At 53.2% G+C, this 15,844-nt stretch overlaps 1 protein-coding gene across 5 annotated transcripts in view, besides 1 other annotated feature; it reads right to left on the reverse strand.

The window, feature by feature from the left end:
• The window catches only part of PPP2R3B (protein phosphatase 2 regulatory subunit B''beta), a 52,975-nt gene extending 51,652 nt beyond the window's left edge, over positions 1–1,323 (reverse strand). For all 5 annotated transcript variants that reach the window (NM_013239.5, XM_047442723.1, XM_047442726.1 and 2 more), the window contains exon 1: positions 784–1,323. In NM_013239.5, coding sequence (NP_037371.2) covers positions 784–1,107 — 324 coding nt within the window. In that variant the 5' untranslated portion in view covers positions 1,108–1,323. The remainder of the gene's footprint in view (positions 1–783) is intronic.
• Positions 11,500–12,385: an enhancer, noted in NCBI's record as "H3K27ac-H3K4me1 hESC enhancer chrX:357819-358704 (GRCh37/hg19 assembly coordinates)". NCBI's record gives its function as "activates a minimal SCP1, AML or CMV promoter by ChIP-STARR-seq in primed H9 embryonic stem cells {active_cell/tissue: H9 hESC(primed)}" and the evidence as "EXISTENCE:reporter gene assay evidence [ECO:0000049][PMID:30033119]".

A 15,844-nucleotide genomic window follows, 5' to 3' on the forward strand; every position in this document is an offset into this window, starting at 1 on the left:
AGCACTCTAGGTAACATAGCAAGACCTCGTCTCTGCAAAAATAAATAAATAAATAAATAAACAAAAATTAGCCTGGCGTGATGGTGCACGCCTGTAATCCCAGCTACTGGGGAGGCTGAGGCAGGAAGTCCAACTGTGTTTGCGCCACTGCACTCCAGCCTAGGAGACAGAGCAAGACCCTGTCTCCAAAGAATTGTAAAATAAATAAAAAACGGACCAGGCGCAGTGACTCACGTCTGAAATCCCAGCACTTTGGGAGGCCAAGGCGGGAGGATCACTTGAGGTCAGGAGTTCGAGACCAGCCTGGCCCACATGGGGGAAACCCAGTCTCTACTAAAAATACAACATCAGCCAGGCGTGGTGGCACGTGCCTGTAAGTCCCAGCTCCTCGGGAGCCTGAGGCAGGAGAATCGCTTGAACCTGGGAGGCAGAGGTTGCAGTGAGCCAAGATCGCGCCATCGTACTCCAGCCTGGGCAACAGAGCAAAACTCTGTCTCAAAATTAAAACAAATTAAAATAATAAAATAAAATAAAATAGGAAGCCTTTCTACCTTTATAAATTGTGTGATTTTTAGGTTAACAACTGTCAATGACGGAATGTTCAGTACGTGGGACTTTCTTGTCTGTATGTGTGTGGTGGGGGGGGTCGGGGCGGGGAACAGACTCAATATGAAACCGTTTTGGGGTCTGACGCTCGCCCACCAGCCTCCATCGCGCAGCCACACGCCCACTATGCGACCAGAGCCACCTGCGCAGTTGTTAGCAGAAGGAAGAGTAACTTACTACTCTCGTCCCTGCGGATCTACGGGTGCCTCGAACGTGGGGCGCGTTCCTGGGGCTGGAGGCGGCGCCCAGGGGCAGCGCAGGGCCCGGCCCGGGGGTTCCCGGGGGTTCGAGCCCGCTGGGCCGGGGGGCGGCGAGCGGGGCTGTGGGCCAGGCCCCGGGCTGCTCCCCGTCCCCCGGGGTCGGCTGGTCCCGCCCGGGCGCCTTGATCCGGCGCAGGCAGTCCTGCAGCATCCGCTGCGTGCTGGCCTCGCTGAGCCAGTACAGGAACAGCTCGTCCACCTTCATCTTCAGGACCGGCTGCAGCACTTTGCCGGGCGGCATGGCGGGGGCTGGGCCCGCGGCGCCCCCGGACGCCCGCGCCCCGCCCCGCCCCGGGGGCTTCGGTCCGCCCCGGACCGACCTCGGTGATGCGAGCACGGCCCGCTGAGGGGGCGCGGCGCAGGGAACAGGGCCCGCGCCTCGGGAACTGCGCGGACTCGCGGGGCGCGGGGACCGAGGAGGGGGCGCGGTCCGGCCCGCGCTGCTCAGGGCAGCTTCAAAACGGGCGCGCCGGCCGCGCTCCCAAACAAGGGCGCCCGCGTTCACGTCACTGCGTCGCGTCATCGCGACGATGTCATCACGAGGCGACGCCGCCGCTAGCCACGCGCGCCCCGCGGCCCTCGGAGCTTTTGCAGGAGGCTTTGGTGGGGCCGAGCGGCTGCGGTGAGGACGAGGGAGGGGCTGTGGCGGCCGTACCGCCCGAGCTCTTTCTGCGTTTAGGATTTTTAGAGGCGCGGCCCATGGCGGCGTGGCAGTCCTAGAGCTGCGGAAATGCGAGCATGCGCAATGCGTGCCTGCCAGAGCGAGGAGAGGGTGGAACCTCCGCATGGAGCATGCGCCGTGCATAGCGGTGGAGGAGCGGAGTTCGGGAGGCCGGTCGGGTGAGCGTGCGCAATGGCTGCCCGCGGGGCGCAAGCCAGAGGCTGGGAGGTGTGTGAGCGGGTGGGGCTGGAGGACGGGAGTGCGCCTGCGCAGTGGGAGGCACCGGGAACGAGCGAGCATGCGGGGTGCGCGCCCGCCGAGCTCGGGAGCGAGCGTGCGTCCTACGGGAGCGCGCGAGGAAAAGATCAAACTTTTCAATAACAGCGGGCTACCTGGGACCCAAAGGGCCCCGTTTACTTTAGCTTTGCTTATCAAACAGTAGAGACAGGTTGGAGGAGTTGGACCCCTTTAAACGTTGGTGTTCAGGGATGAGCGTGAAGTGCGTTGAAAATTGCAAAAATCATCCACGTCCAGGGAGGTGACATTAGTTAAATAACTTTACCCAATGGTCGTTTTTGTTTCTGCTTTTAACAGTATCCATAAAAACACTGCATTATCATCTGTCTGGCACACATGCACCTGTTTCCTTTACATCTTGCCCCGCTTTTTATTCATTTTTTATCAAAATAGGGTTTCACCTGGTGTTGCACCCTGTTAGAGAGTAATTTCAAGGTCTTTTATGAGCCAGGTTCTCCTACTTCTGAGCTGCATAAATCGAGCCAGACTCAATAAGTAACCCTTGGCCGGGCGCGGTGGCTCAAGTCTGTAATCCCGGCACTTTGGGAGGCTGAAGCGGGCAGATCACGAAGTCAGGAGTTCGAGACCAGCCTGGCCAGCATAGTGAAACCGCCCCCACCATCTCTACTAAAAATAGAAAAATTAGCCGGGCATAGTAGCGTGTGCCTGTAGTCCCAGCTACTCGGGAGGCTGTGGCGGGAGAATTGCTTGAACCCAGGAGGTGGAGGTTGCAGTGAGCTGAGATCACACCATTGCACTCCAGCCTGGGCGACAGAGCCAGACTTTGTCTCAAAAAAAAAAAAAATAACTCTTTTTTTAGTTTTATTTTTTTTTTGAGTTGGAGTCTCGCTCTGTCGCCCAGGCTGGAGTGCGATGGCAAGATCTCAGCTCACTGTAACCTCCGCCTCCCGGGTTCAAGGGATCCTCCTGCCTCAGCCTCCCGAGTAGCTGGGATTACAGGCGCCCGCCACCACGCCTGGCTAATTTTTGTATTTTTGGTAGAGACAGGGTTTCACCGTATTAGCCAGGATGGTCTCGAACTCCTGACCTCAAGTGATCCACCCGCCTCGGCCTCCCAAAGTGCTGGGATTACAGGCGTGAGCTACCACGCCCGGCCTAAATAACTCTTTTTGTTCGTATGAGACAGGGTTTTGCTCCGTCACCCAGGCTGCGATCTTAGCTGAGTGCAGCCTTGATCTCCTGGCTCAAGCGATCCTCCCACCTCAGCCTTCCAAGCAGCTGGGACAACAGGCATGCGCCACCATGCCTGGCTCATTTTTAATTTTATTGTTTATAGAGACGAGGTGTTGCTGGTCTCACACTCCTGGCCTCAAGCAATCTTCCTGCCTTTGCCTCTGTCTCTGCCTCCCAAAGCGTTGGGATTACAGGCGTGAGCCACCGCACCCGATTTAAATCACTCATAAACGATAGTTTTGTGTTGTGTACATAATGATTTGAATTTCAGTTTGTGTTTCGTGATTGGATATAAAAATCCGAGTGTACTTGGTCAGAAGAGCGCCATCACGCAGGAATTCTGTGAAGTTATTTTTCCTAATTGGGAAGCAACCGTTTGTGTGTGTGTGCGATGCTGTGATTTCTGGAGGGAAGTGAATATATTAATACAGTTCTCTGTTTGAGTATGTATCGGACACAGACGTCTTTTCAAGGAACAAACGTGCTTTTCATTCTGGGTGTTTCGATGAGCTGCGAGTCACTGTTGGAAGCATCACTGCAGTTTTGAGGGGAAAGGGTTTCCTTTGAATGCCTGCACAAGAGGCCTTTCTCTGCCAGGTTACTGGGGCACAGTGTAGTGAGGCCCAGGGCCAACAGGACAGAAATCAACTCAGGGCAGAAACAGAATGCGCCTTCAGTCTGCGCTGGGGCCCGGGGGCCCACTCCGTGCAGGCTTTGCTCTGGGAGAACAAAGAGGTGCTGTCGGGCCCCCAAGGCTGGCAGGGCCTGAGGTGTTGCAGAGTTTGCTGGGATGTGGCCAGCTGCAATTATCCAAGCTGCTCCACAGCCGGATGGACGCCCTGCCCATTCGGGTCTGTCCGTCTTGCAGGGGTGGTGGGTGGCCACCAGAATTGTCCTGGGGAGAGAAAGGTGAGGGCAGGCCGGGAGATTGCAGTGGCTCATGCCTGTCATCCCAGCACTTTGGGAGGCCGAGACGGTGGATCACCTGAGGTCAGGGGTTCAAGACCAGCCTGGCCAACATGGTGAAACCCCCGTCTCTACAAAAATACAAAAATTAGCCAGGCACGGTGGCTCACACCTGTCATCCCAGCACTTTGGGAGGCCGAGGTGGTGGATCACCTGAGGTCAGGAGTTCGAGACCAGCCTGGCCAACATGGTGAAACCCCGTCTCTACAAAAATACAAAAATTAGCCAGGCATGGTGGCTCACACCTGTCATCCCAGCACTTTGGGAGGCCGAGGCAGGAGGATTGTTTAAGCCCAGGAGGTCAAGACCAGCCTTGGCAACATGGCGAGCCCCATCTCTAGAGAATATTTAAAAATTAGCTGAGCATCCTGGCGTGTGCCTGTGGTCCCAGCTACTCGGGAGGCTGAGGTAGGAGGATCGTTTGAGCCTGGGAGGTTGAGGCTTCAGTGAGCCGAGATCTCACCACCGCTCTCCAGCCGAGGCAGGAATGAAAGACTCTGTCCCTAAAAGCATTAAATTTTAAAAAGCAGCCAGATATCGTGGCTCACACCTGTTATCCCAGCACTTTGGGAAGCTGAGGTGGGAGGATCACCTGAGGTCAGGAGTTCGAGACCAGCCTGACCAACATGCTGAAACCCCGTCTCTACAAAAATACAAAAATTAGCCAGACGTGGTGGCTCACACCTGTCATCCCAGCACTTTGGGAAGCTGAGGCAGGCAGATCACCTGAGGTCAGGAGTTCGAGACCAGCCTGGCCAACATGGTGAAACCCCGTCTTTACAAAAATAGAAAAATTAGCTGGGCATGATGGCGGGTGCCTGTAATCCCAGCTACTTGGGAGACTGAGGCAGAAGAATCACTTGAACCCAGGAGACAGACGTTGCAGTGAGCCGAGATCACAGCATTGCACTCCAGCCTGGACAGCAGAGCGAGACTCCCTCTCGAAAAAATAAAAATAAAAATAAAATAAAAAGCGAGAATGGGGAGGGAAGAGTAGCGAGGAAGATTCCGGAAGACTCTGCTCCTCTGTGGGATGTAGGTCCAGGAACAAAGAGCTGGGTCAGCGCTTCCCAGGGAGGTGAGGAAGGAGGGAGCCACAACGGTTGTAGAGGGAGAGAAGCTCCTTCCTTCATCCACCTGAGCCCGGGTCTCCTGTGTGGCCACAGCCTCTGCAGCCTCTGCCCCACCTGCAGCTGCTCAGAAATGCAAACTCACCCACTGTATGACATGCTCTGGATCTCAGTCGGCCTTCGCCCCGCAGACCTGGGTGGTTGATCGAACACTAAAGCTCCAGACCTGGAGATGCCTCAGAGGAAGCACCTGGCAAGTAGGATCTCCCTGGTCCTGCGCCGACCCAAAGCTCCCAGCTAGGTGCGTGCAGTGAGAGGTCAAAGAGGGATCAAGTTTATATCTGCCGCTTGCATTCCGCACGATGACTTAAAACAAACAAACAAAACAAACAAACAAAAAAAAACAAAAAACCCAGCCGAGCACAGTGTCATCCCAGCACTTTGGGAGGCCGACAGGGGTGGATCACGAGGTCAAGAGATCGAAACCAGCCTGGCCAACGTGGTGAAACCCCGTCTCTACTAAAAATACAAATATTAGCTGGGCGTGGTGGCGGGCACCTGTAACCCTAGCAACTCGGGAGGCTGAGGCAGGAGAATCACTTGAACCCGGGAGGCGGAGCTTGCAGTGAACAGAGATCATGCCCCTGTACTCCAGCCTGGCGACAGAGCGAGACTCTGTCTCAAAATGAATAAATAAATAGGAAAGTAGTGTGGGTCTGCATTCTGCAGGTTTTGGAAACACATTTCCGAGTGCATATTTCAGGTGAGGAGAGGTGGGGACTCCAGGCAGCGTGCACAGTTTAGACTCTAACCGTGGGCCGGGAGTGGTGGCTCACTCCTATAATCCCAGCACTTTGGGAGGCCGAGGTGGGCGGATCACAAGGTCAGGAGTTCGAGACCAGCCTGGCCAATATGGTGAAGCCCCATCTGTACTAAAAATCCAAAAATTAGCCAGATGTGGTGGCGTGCACCTGTCATCCCAGCTACTGGGGAGGCTGAGGCAGGAGAATCGCTTGAACCCGGTGGAGGCGGAGGTTGCAGTGAGCCGAGATCGCGCTGCTGTACTCCAGCCTGGGTGACAGAGCGAGACTCCCTCCCAAAAAAAGAAACCACCGTAACTGTGGCAGTAAGAGGCCAGGAACTCTCACAGATACCTCGTCCAAAACCGGCAAAGGAGAGGATGGAACATTTGCTGTAGAGGTTTTCCTGCCTCTTCATAACTCCTTGAGGCTGTGTCCTCATCCATCTTCCAGAAACCAAAAACCCTTCACACATCGCCCCTTTTGTCCCGAGCGGCGCCCGCTGCCACCTGCTTGGCAAAATAAAACGTAAGTGGAAAAATGCTCCCTTTTCCATTTTCCTCTCTAATTGAATTCTCTCCTGACCTCTCGGTTCCCCACGGCTGTGTTTCAGGTTTTGATGATAAGGAAAAGAACTCTGTATTTGGATAATACGATTTTCAGCAACCTTCAACTCAATTTCCTCTCCCCGGAGACAGTGTATCTTATAGGATAGAATGAAATCCCTTATTCATAGGGAAAAAGTTCCAATTTAATCTGAATATTCAGCGTGCCGCCGTGGCCGGGGTGATGGATGGCGTATGGAAATATCACAGTTCAAGCAATCAGATGTCAGAATGCACTCTGCTACTGGAAGAAATAATGACGCCTATCCAATTTTCTATAAGGCGCAGAAATGCACGTTGCATCGTGAGGACCCCGGCTTTCTCCTATTACCTTACTAATCACATCTCCATTTAAACACAGAACAGAAAAGGAAGCGTGGTCACAAATTAAGAATTAATGGAAGTGAGACTCCGCAATGGATTCGGGGCCGAGGGCCAAAGGCGGCCGCCACGTGCCGCTATTTACATGAAGTCACAGAGATGACGGGGATGAGCGGGGTCCCCTTGTCAGAAGCTGCTGGGCCAGATGAACCTGACAAGTATCTCCTAAGAAGGATTTAGAAAAGGGGAAGATGAAATCTTTGGAGGTAATGGAGAATTAGAAGCATGTCATTACCTATAAATCCTGCGGCCCTGCACACGCTGTTGACAGCCCGGAAGATGAGACTGGCTGAGAGGAAAAAGATTCTGAGCCTGGAACAAGCGGACCCAGATTCTAGGTGGCCAGGCTGTGTGGTTGCTTTTATCATTCCGGGAGACTTTCGGGAGGAAATGTTTGCAAAGAGCACGCAGATGGGGAAATGTTTGCAAAGAGCACGCAGATGGCATTTTCTTTTCTCTCTATTTTTTTTTTTTTGAGACGTAGTTTTTGCTCTTGTCGCCCAGGTTGGAGCCGCCTCCCGGGTTCAAGCGATTCTCCTGCCTCAGCCTCCCAAGTAGCTGGGATTACAGGCACCTGCCACCACGCCCGGCTACCTTTTATATTTTTAGTAGAGACTGGGTTTTGCCGCGTTGGCCAGGCTGGTCTCGAACTCCCGACCTCAGGAGATCTGCCCGTCTCGGCCTCCGAAAAGTGCTGGGATTACAGATGTGAGTCACCGCGCCTGGCCAGCATTTTGTATCACCCCTAACTGCATCTATTTTGGTGTTGTTCATGATAATAATAAATGTCATGCATATCTCTGATTGAACTTGGCCCGTGCTTGAGCTCATTAGAAACAGGTTTTCCTATGTGTCATCTCTTATTTTTCTTGGTAATACTTGGAGCTGAGATTTCTTTTTCTCTCTCTTTCTTCCTCTCTCTTTCTCTCTTTCTTCCTCTCTCTTTCTCTCTTCCTTCCTCTCTCTTTCTCTCTTCCTTCCGAGACAGGGTCTCACTCCGTTACCCAGGCTGGAGTGCGGTTGTACGATCACAGCTGCTGTCTTGACCTCCTAGGCTCAAGTGATCCTCCACCCTCAGCCTCCCGAGTAGCTGAGACTGCAGGCATGCACCGCCATGCCCGCCTAATTTTTTTATTTTTTTCTAGAGATGGGGTCTGACTATGTTGCCCAGGCTGGTCTCAAACTCTTGGCCTCAAGCAATCCTCCTGCCTCGACCTCCCAAAGTGCTGGGATTACAGGCGTGAGCTACCGCACGCAGCCTTGAATCCTTTTAATAAGTACTTTCCTCTTATCCACGACCCAGAACATCACACTGTAGACAGTTGTTTAGGGTTTTGAAAGATTTATATTTTTAATTTTTTTTTTTTTTTTGAGACAGTCTTGCTCTTTTGCCCAGGCCGGACTGCAGTGGCACAATCTCGGCTCACTGCAAGCTCCACCTCCCGGGTTCACGCCATTCTCCTGCCTCAGCCTCCCGAGTAGCTGGGACCACAGGTGCCCACCACCACGCCCGGCTAATTTTTTGTATTTTTAGTAGAGGTGGGATTTCACCGTGTTAGTCAGGATGGTCTCGATCTCCTAGCCTTGTGATCCGCCCGCCTCAGCCTCACGAAGTGCTGGGATGACAGGCGTGAGCCACCGCGCCCGGCCAATTTTTTTTTTGAGCTAGGATCTCACTCTGTCACCAGGTTGGAGTGCAGTGGTGCGATCTCAGCTCACTGCAACCTCCGCCTCCCAGGCTCAAGCGATCCTCCCACCTCAGCCTCCCAATTAGCTGGGACCACAGGCACCTGCCACCACACCTGGCTAATTTTTTTTGTAGAGACGGGGTTTTGACATGTTGTCCAGGCTGGTCTCAAACTCCTGAGCTCAAGCAATCTACTGGTCTCGGCCTCCCAAAGTGCGGAGATGACCACCATGAGTGACCGTGCCAGGCCTCTGTTTTTAATTTTGTAATTGAGATACATTCCACATAACATAAAAGGAACCGTTTTAAAGTGAACAGGGGCATTTAAAACATCCACAATGGCGTACCACCACCTCTGTCTAGTTCCGGAACACTTGCGCTGGGCATGGTGGTTCACGCCTGTCATCCCAGCACTTTGGGAGGCCGAGGCGGGCGGATCACCTGAGGTCAGGAGTTCAAAACCAGCCTGGCCAACATGACGAAACCCCATCTCTACTAAAAATACAGAAGTTAGCTGGGTTTGGTGGCTGGTGCCTGTAATCCCAGATACTTGGGAGGCTGAGGCAGGAGAATCACTTGAGCCTGGGAGGCGGAGGTTGCAGTGAGCCGAGATCACGCCACTGCGCTCCAGGCTGGGCCACAGAGCGAGACCCGGTCTCAAAAATAAACAAACAAACCAACAACAACAAAAGGTCTGGAGCATTTTCTTCACCCCAAAAGTAAACCCTGTCCCCATTAACAGTCATTCGTCCCCCTCCCCATCCCCTGGCAACCACCCATCCACTTTCTGCCTCCATGGATTTGCCTGTTCTGGACCTTTCCTAGAAATGGAATCTTACTCTATGTGGCCTTTTGTGTCTGGCTTCTCTCACGGAGTGTGACATCCTCAAGGCTCATCCACATTGCAGCCTGTGTCACAGCCTCGTTCCTTTTCATGGCTGCATACTATTCCACCATGTGGATGGACCACATTGTGCTAATCCACCCATCCACTGGTGGACACTTGAGTGGTTTCTGCTTTTGGGCCGTTACGAAATCCAGCTACTGTGAAACAGTTCACTTTTATTTTATTTTATTTATTTATTTTTTTGAGATGGAGTCTCGCTATCTCGCCTGTGCTATAGTGGCAGAATCTCGGCTCACTGCAAGCTCCGCCTCCCAGGTTCAAGTGACTCTCCTGCCTCAGCCTCCCGAGTAGCTGGGATTACAGTCACCCACCAGCATGCCCAGCTAATTTTTGTAGTTTTAGTAGAGACAGGGTTTCACCATGTTGGCCGGGCTGGTCTCGAACTCCTGACCTCAGGTGATCCACCCGTCTCAGTCTCCCAAAGTGCTGGGATGTTGCAGGCGTGAGCCACCGCGCTGGCCTCTAGGTGATTCTTTAACTAGAACGATAGATATCGGACTTTTGCTATGGGGTGGATTTTCCTCCTAATCTGAAATGAGGCAAAAAGTCTTAGCATGTCAGATGTGACGCCTTCTTTTATTTCGCTCAGCATAAATTTTAAGCAAATTGAGAATGGAGCCTGGGTACCCATTTCGGTAAAAGCTTTGTTTTTTTTTTTCTGCGTAAGACCTACATTTGACTCAGAGTGTAGTTGGTGAAATGCACATTTTTCTTAATGACAGAAGGACGTATTTCTTTCTTTCTTTCTTTCTTTTTTTTTTTGAGACAGACTGTCACTCTGTCGCCCAGGCTGGAATGCAGTGTCGTGATCTCAGCTCACTGCAAGCTCCGCCTCCCGGGTTCACGCCATTCTCCTGCCTCAGCCTCCCTAGTAGCTGGGACTACAGGCACCCGCCACCACGCCCGGCTAATTTTTTGTATTTTTAATAGAGACAGGGTTTCACCATGTTAGCCAGGATGGTCTCGATCTCCTGACCTCGTGATCCGCCTGCCTCAGTCTCCCACAGTGCTGGGATTACAGGCGTGAGTTACCGTGCCCGGCCGAAATGCACATTTTTCTGAATGACAGAAGGATGTATTTCTTTTTTTTTTTCTTTTTTTGAGACAGAGTCTCGCTCTGTCACCCAGGCTGGAGTGCAGTGGCGCGATCTCGGCTCACTGCAAGCTCCACCTCCCGGGTTCATGCCATTCTCCTGCCTCAGCCGCCTGAGTAGCTGGGACTACAGGCGCCCGCCACCACGCCCGGCTAATTTTTTTGTATTTTTAGTAGAGACGGGGTTTCACCGTGTTAGCCAGGATGGTCTCGATCTCCTGACCTCGTGAGCCGCCCACCTCGGCCTCCTAAAGTGCTGGGATTTACAGGCGTGAGCCACTGCGCCCGGCCAGAAGGACGTATTTCTGATAGCCAGGGGTAGTGATTTACAGCACTGTAGTACAGAAAACTGTTTTTTTCCTCTTTGTAAAAGGAGTAGTTGCTGATTGGAGAAAACTTGGGAAGTACAGAGAGTATTCAAAAATCAGGGCTGGGCTTTGGGAGGCTGAGGCAGGCGGATCACAAGGTCAGGAGTTCGTGACCAGCCTGACCAACATGGTGAAACCCCGTCTCTACTAAAAATACAAAATTAGCTGGGTGGGGTGGTGGGCACCTGTAATCCCAGCTACTCAGGAGGCTGAGGCAGGAGAACCACTTGAACCCAGGAGGCGGAGGTTGCAATGAGCCGAGATTGCACCACTGCACTCCAGCCTGGGCAACAGAGCGAGATGCCATCTGAAAAAAAAAAAAAAAAAAAAAAAGCCGGGCCGGATGGCTCCTGCCTGTAATCCCAGTACTTTGGGAGGCTGAGGTGAGAGGATCACTGGAGCCTAGGAATTTGAGATGAGCTTGGGCAACATAGCAAGACCCCATCTCTACCAAAAAGCAAAATTAGCTGGGCATGGTGGCCCATGCTGTAGTCCCAGCTACTCGGGAGGCTGAGGCAGGCGGATTACTTGATCCCAGGAGTTTGAAACTAGTCTGGGCAACGTAGTGAGATGCCATCTCTACCCCCCCCCCAAAAAAAATTAGCCCAGCATGGTGGTGTGCACCTGTAGTCCTAGCTACTCGGGAGGCTGAGGTGGGAGGATCACTTGAGCCCAGGAGGTCAAGGCTGCAGTGAGCCGAGATCACACCATTGCATTCCAGCCTGGGCAACAGAGCAAGACCCTGTCTCACATAAAATAAAATAAATAGGCCGGGCGCAGTGGCTCATGCCTGTCATCCCACACTTTGTGAGGCCGAGGCGGGCGGATCACGAGGTCAGGAGTTTGAGACCATCCTGGCCAACATGGTGAAACCCCGTCTCTACTAAAAATACAAAAAAAAAAAAATAGCCGGGCATGGTGGCGGGCGCCTGTAGTCCCAGCTACTCGGGAGGACGAGGCAGGAGAATGGCGTGAACCCGGGAGACGGAGCGTGCAGTGAGCCGAGATCGTGCCACTGCACTCCAGCCTGGGCGACAGAGCGAGACTCCGTCTCAAAAAAAAAAAAAAAGTCCAGACATGGTTGTTCAACAGCACAGAGGGACGTCTTGCTGAGAAGTGGCCGGACGAGGCTGCCCCAGACACCGCAGCCCTCTCCTCCTGCCCCCCACACCCTCCAGGACTGAAGAGGCCGTAGGCTCGGCCGGCAGCATCTGCTCCCTTTGTCCTCCAAAGGAACCCGTGTGTGGAAGGAATGCCTCCGGGGAGAACAGCTGACGTCCGGTGCCGTTTTGGCAGCACGGAACCCCAGTTATTTTCAGATGTCTTGTTCGTGCCCCAGAGGTCAGGGACCAGCAGCTTTCAGGAAGCCTCGGCCAGGCACTGCGTTAACTCCGCGATGACTTTCTGGCTGCAGAATCCCAACTATGCAATTCACTCTTAATCCCCAGCTTCAAGGCACTGTCAGGCGTTTCCGTGACAAAAACTCTCTCTTTTTTTTTTCTTTTCTTCTTTTGTTTTTTTTTTTTTTTTTTTTGAAATGGAGTCTTGCTCTGTCACCCAGGCTGGAGTGCAGTGGTGTTATCTCTGCTCACAGCAACCTCCGCCTCCCGGGTTCAAGCGATTCTCCTGCCTCAGCCTCCCGAGTAGCTGGGACTACAGGCACCCGCCACCACGCCCGGCTAATATTTTGTATTCCTTGTAGAGATGGGGTTTCAGCATCTCTACGCTATTTCCAAATAAGGTCCCAGGCTGGGGGCGGTGGCTCACACCTATAATGTTGGCCAGGCTGGTCTCGACCTCCTGACCTCAAGCGATCCACCCGCCTCGGCCTCCCAAAATGCCGGGATGACAGGCGTAAGCCAACGCGCCCGGCCAGAAACCTGCTATATTCTGCACCGTTTTTCCGGGTCCAGGCAGACGTGGGTCCCTGTGGTTTCAGAGCACAAGTGGTGTTTTATGGAATCATCTTCGCTGTGGCAAGCACACTATGGTAGATGGGATAGGGTGGGTGTTGGTGGTGAGGAAGAGGTCGTGCCCGTCCGTGGATGACGTGGGAAGCTCTCGAAGAGTTGCTGGCATTTGTACCTGTTTGCACGCAGCAGCGCTCTGAGTGGCAGAGACAGGATGTCCCCCAGATCCCACGTCCCCGCAGTTGTTAGTGAGACGGATGCCTCGGGATGTGCCTTGGTCTCTGGTTTGAGAACGTTTCTGTTGACTTGCCATTTTCTAACCACGGGGCGCACAGCAGAGTCAGAACTGGGTTACAGAACGTGGGCTATGGACTCCAGTTGCCTTTCTGACCTACTTTATTTTGTTTTGTTATTTTATTTTATTTATTTATTTATTTTTTGAGACGGAGTCTCGCTCTGTCGCCCAGGCTGGAGTGCAGTGGTGCGATCTCGGCTCACTGCAAGCTCCGCCTCCCGGGTTCACACCATTCTCCTGCCTCAGCCTCCCGAGTAGCTGGGACTACAGGCGCCCGCCACCACACCCGGCTAATTTTTTGTATTTTTAGTAGAGACGGGGTTTCACCGTGTTGGCCAGGCTGGTCTCAAACTCCTGACCTCAAGTGATCGGCCCACCTTGGCCTCCCAAAGTGCTGGGATTACAGGCGTGAGCCATCACGTCCGGCCTTCAAGTACACTTTCTGTTGAATGCATACTGCTTTCTCTCCAGCATAAAGTTAAAAAATCCTGAATTGCACCATTGGAAGCTGGGGACTGTCTGTATGCAATATTATGTATAGTTTGATTTCTTTTTTTGCATTTTTTTTTTAAATTTTTTTGAGACAGAGTTACACTCTTGTTGCCCAGGCTGGAGTGCAGTGGCACGATCTCAGCTCACTGCAACCTCCACCTCCCGGGTTCAAGCAATTCTCCTGCCTCAGTCTCCCAAGTAGCTGGGATGACAGGCGTGAGCCACCACGCCCGGCTAATTTTGTATTTTTAGTGGAGATGGGGTTTCTCCATGTTGGCCAGGCTGGTCTCGAACTCCTGACCTCGTGATCCGCTCGCCTCAGCCACCCAAAGTGCTGAGATAACAGGCGTGAGCCACCGTGCCTGGCTAATTTTGTATTTTTAGTGGAGATGGGGTTTCTCCATGTTGGCCAGGCTGGTCTCGAACTCCTGACCTCGTGATCCGCTCGCCTCAGCCACCCAAAGTGCTGAGATAACAGGCGTGAGCCACCGTGCCGGGCTAACTTTGTATTTTTAGTGGAGATGGGGTTTCTCCATGTTGTCCAGGCTGGTCTCGAACTCCTGACCTCATGACCCGCTCGCCTCGGCCACCCAAAGTGCTGAGATGACAGGCGTGAGCCACCGTGCCCGGCTAATTTTGTATTTTTAGTGGAGATGGGGTTTCTCCATGTTGTCCAGGCTGGTCTCGAACTCCTGACCTCATGACCCGCTCGCCTCGGCCACCCAAAGTGCTGAGATGACAGGCGTGAGCCACCGCGCCCGGCTAATTTTGTATTTTTAGTGGAGACGGGGTTTCTCCATGTTGGCCAGGCTGGTCTCGAACTCCTGACCTCATGACCCGCTCGCCTCGGCCACCCAAAGTGCTGGGATGACAGGCGTGAGCCACCGCGCCCGGCCACAGTTACACACGGACACAGAGCCAAGGGGCCACCTGAACTCCCTCTCAGCCCTGGAATGAAAGACCATAGGACCAGGCGCGGCGGCTCATGCCCACAATCCCAGCACAGTGGGAGGCCGAGGCAGGAGGATCGCTTGAGGCCTGGAGTTCGAGACCAACCTGGGCCACCTAGCAAGACCCTGCCCCTACCAAAAAATGTAAACAATAAAAATAAATGAAAAGCAACAATAAAAGAAGGTAGACCACGTGTTGCGGGACCTTCCTCTCCTGGGGCGCCTTGTGGGTGTGGGCAGGGGAGGCTATTCCCGGCCTTTCACGTTCTAAAAACATCCCGTGGAAAGTGTACAGACGGCATCTGTGGGGCTCACCTCTGTGCCCGTCACTCGATCGTGGGCCTGCTGAGTGGCGCTATTTTTGGAGGGCAGCTGGGGGAGGGAGGAATTGGTACGATTTTGCTATTATAGGAAGGAAGACTAAGGGATTCCTAGGCTTGCTTACATGCTTTTTTTTTTTTTGAGACGGAGTCTCGCTGTGTCGCCCAGGCTGGAGAGCAGTGGCCCCATCTCATCTGACTGCAAGCTCTGCCTCCCGGGTTCACGCCATTCTCCAGCCTCAGCCTCCTAGAGAGTAGCTGGGGCTACAGGCGCCCGCCACCAACACCCGGCTAATTTTTTGTATGTTTAGTAGAGACAGGGGGTCTCACCGTGTTAGCCCGGATGGTCTCAAGATCTCCTGAACTTGTGATCCGCCCGCCTCGGCCTCCCAAAGTGCTGGGATTAGAGGCGTGAGCCACCGCGCCCGGCCGCCTACATGATTGTTATAAGCCATGACCCTTTCGGCATATGAGAGAGTGTGTGAATCCTGTCAGTTCAGGGTTAGAAGCCCAGGATGCATGATTGAGGTGGCTGTCTGCAATAGCAACTTGCTTTCTCATGGCAGAAAATTAGATTTTTTTTTTTTCTTTTTGAGACAGACTCTTTCTCTGTCACTCAGACTGGAGTGCAATGGCACGATCACAGCTCACTGCAGCCTCAAACTCCTGGGCTCCAGCAATCCTCCCACCTCAGCCTCCTGAGCACCAGGGACCACAGGCGTGCACCACCATACCCAGCTAATTTTTAAATTTCTTTAGAAATGAGATCTCGCTATGTTGCCCAGGCTGGTCTCAAACTCCTGGGCTTAAGCCATCCTCCTGCTTCAGCCTCCCAAAGTGCTGGGATTACAGGCGTGAGCCACTGCACCTGGCCCATGTATGCATTTTAATATATATTAAAGAGACGGAGTTTCGCTCTTGTCACCCAGGCTGGAGGGCAGTGGTGCGATCTTGGCTCACTGCAACCTCCGCCTCCCAGGTT

The sequence above is a fragment of the Homo sapiens genome, chromosome Y (assembly GCF_000001405.40).
Source record: "Homo sapiens chromosome Y, GRCh38.p14 Primary Assembly".
Lineage (NCBI taxonomy): Eukaryota > Metazoa > Chordata > Mammalia > Primates > Hominidae > Homo > Homo sapiens.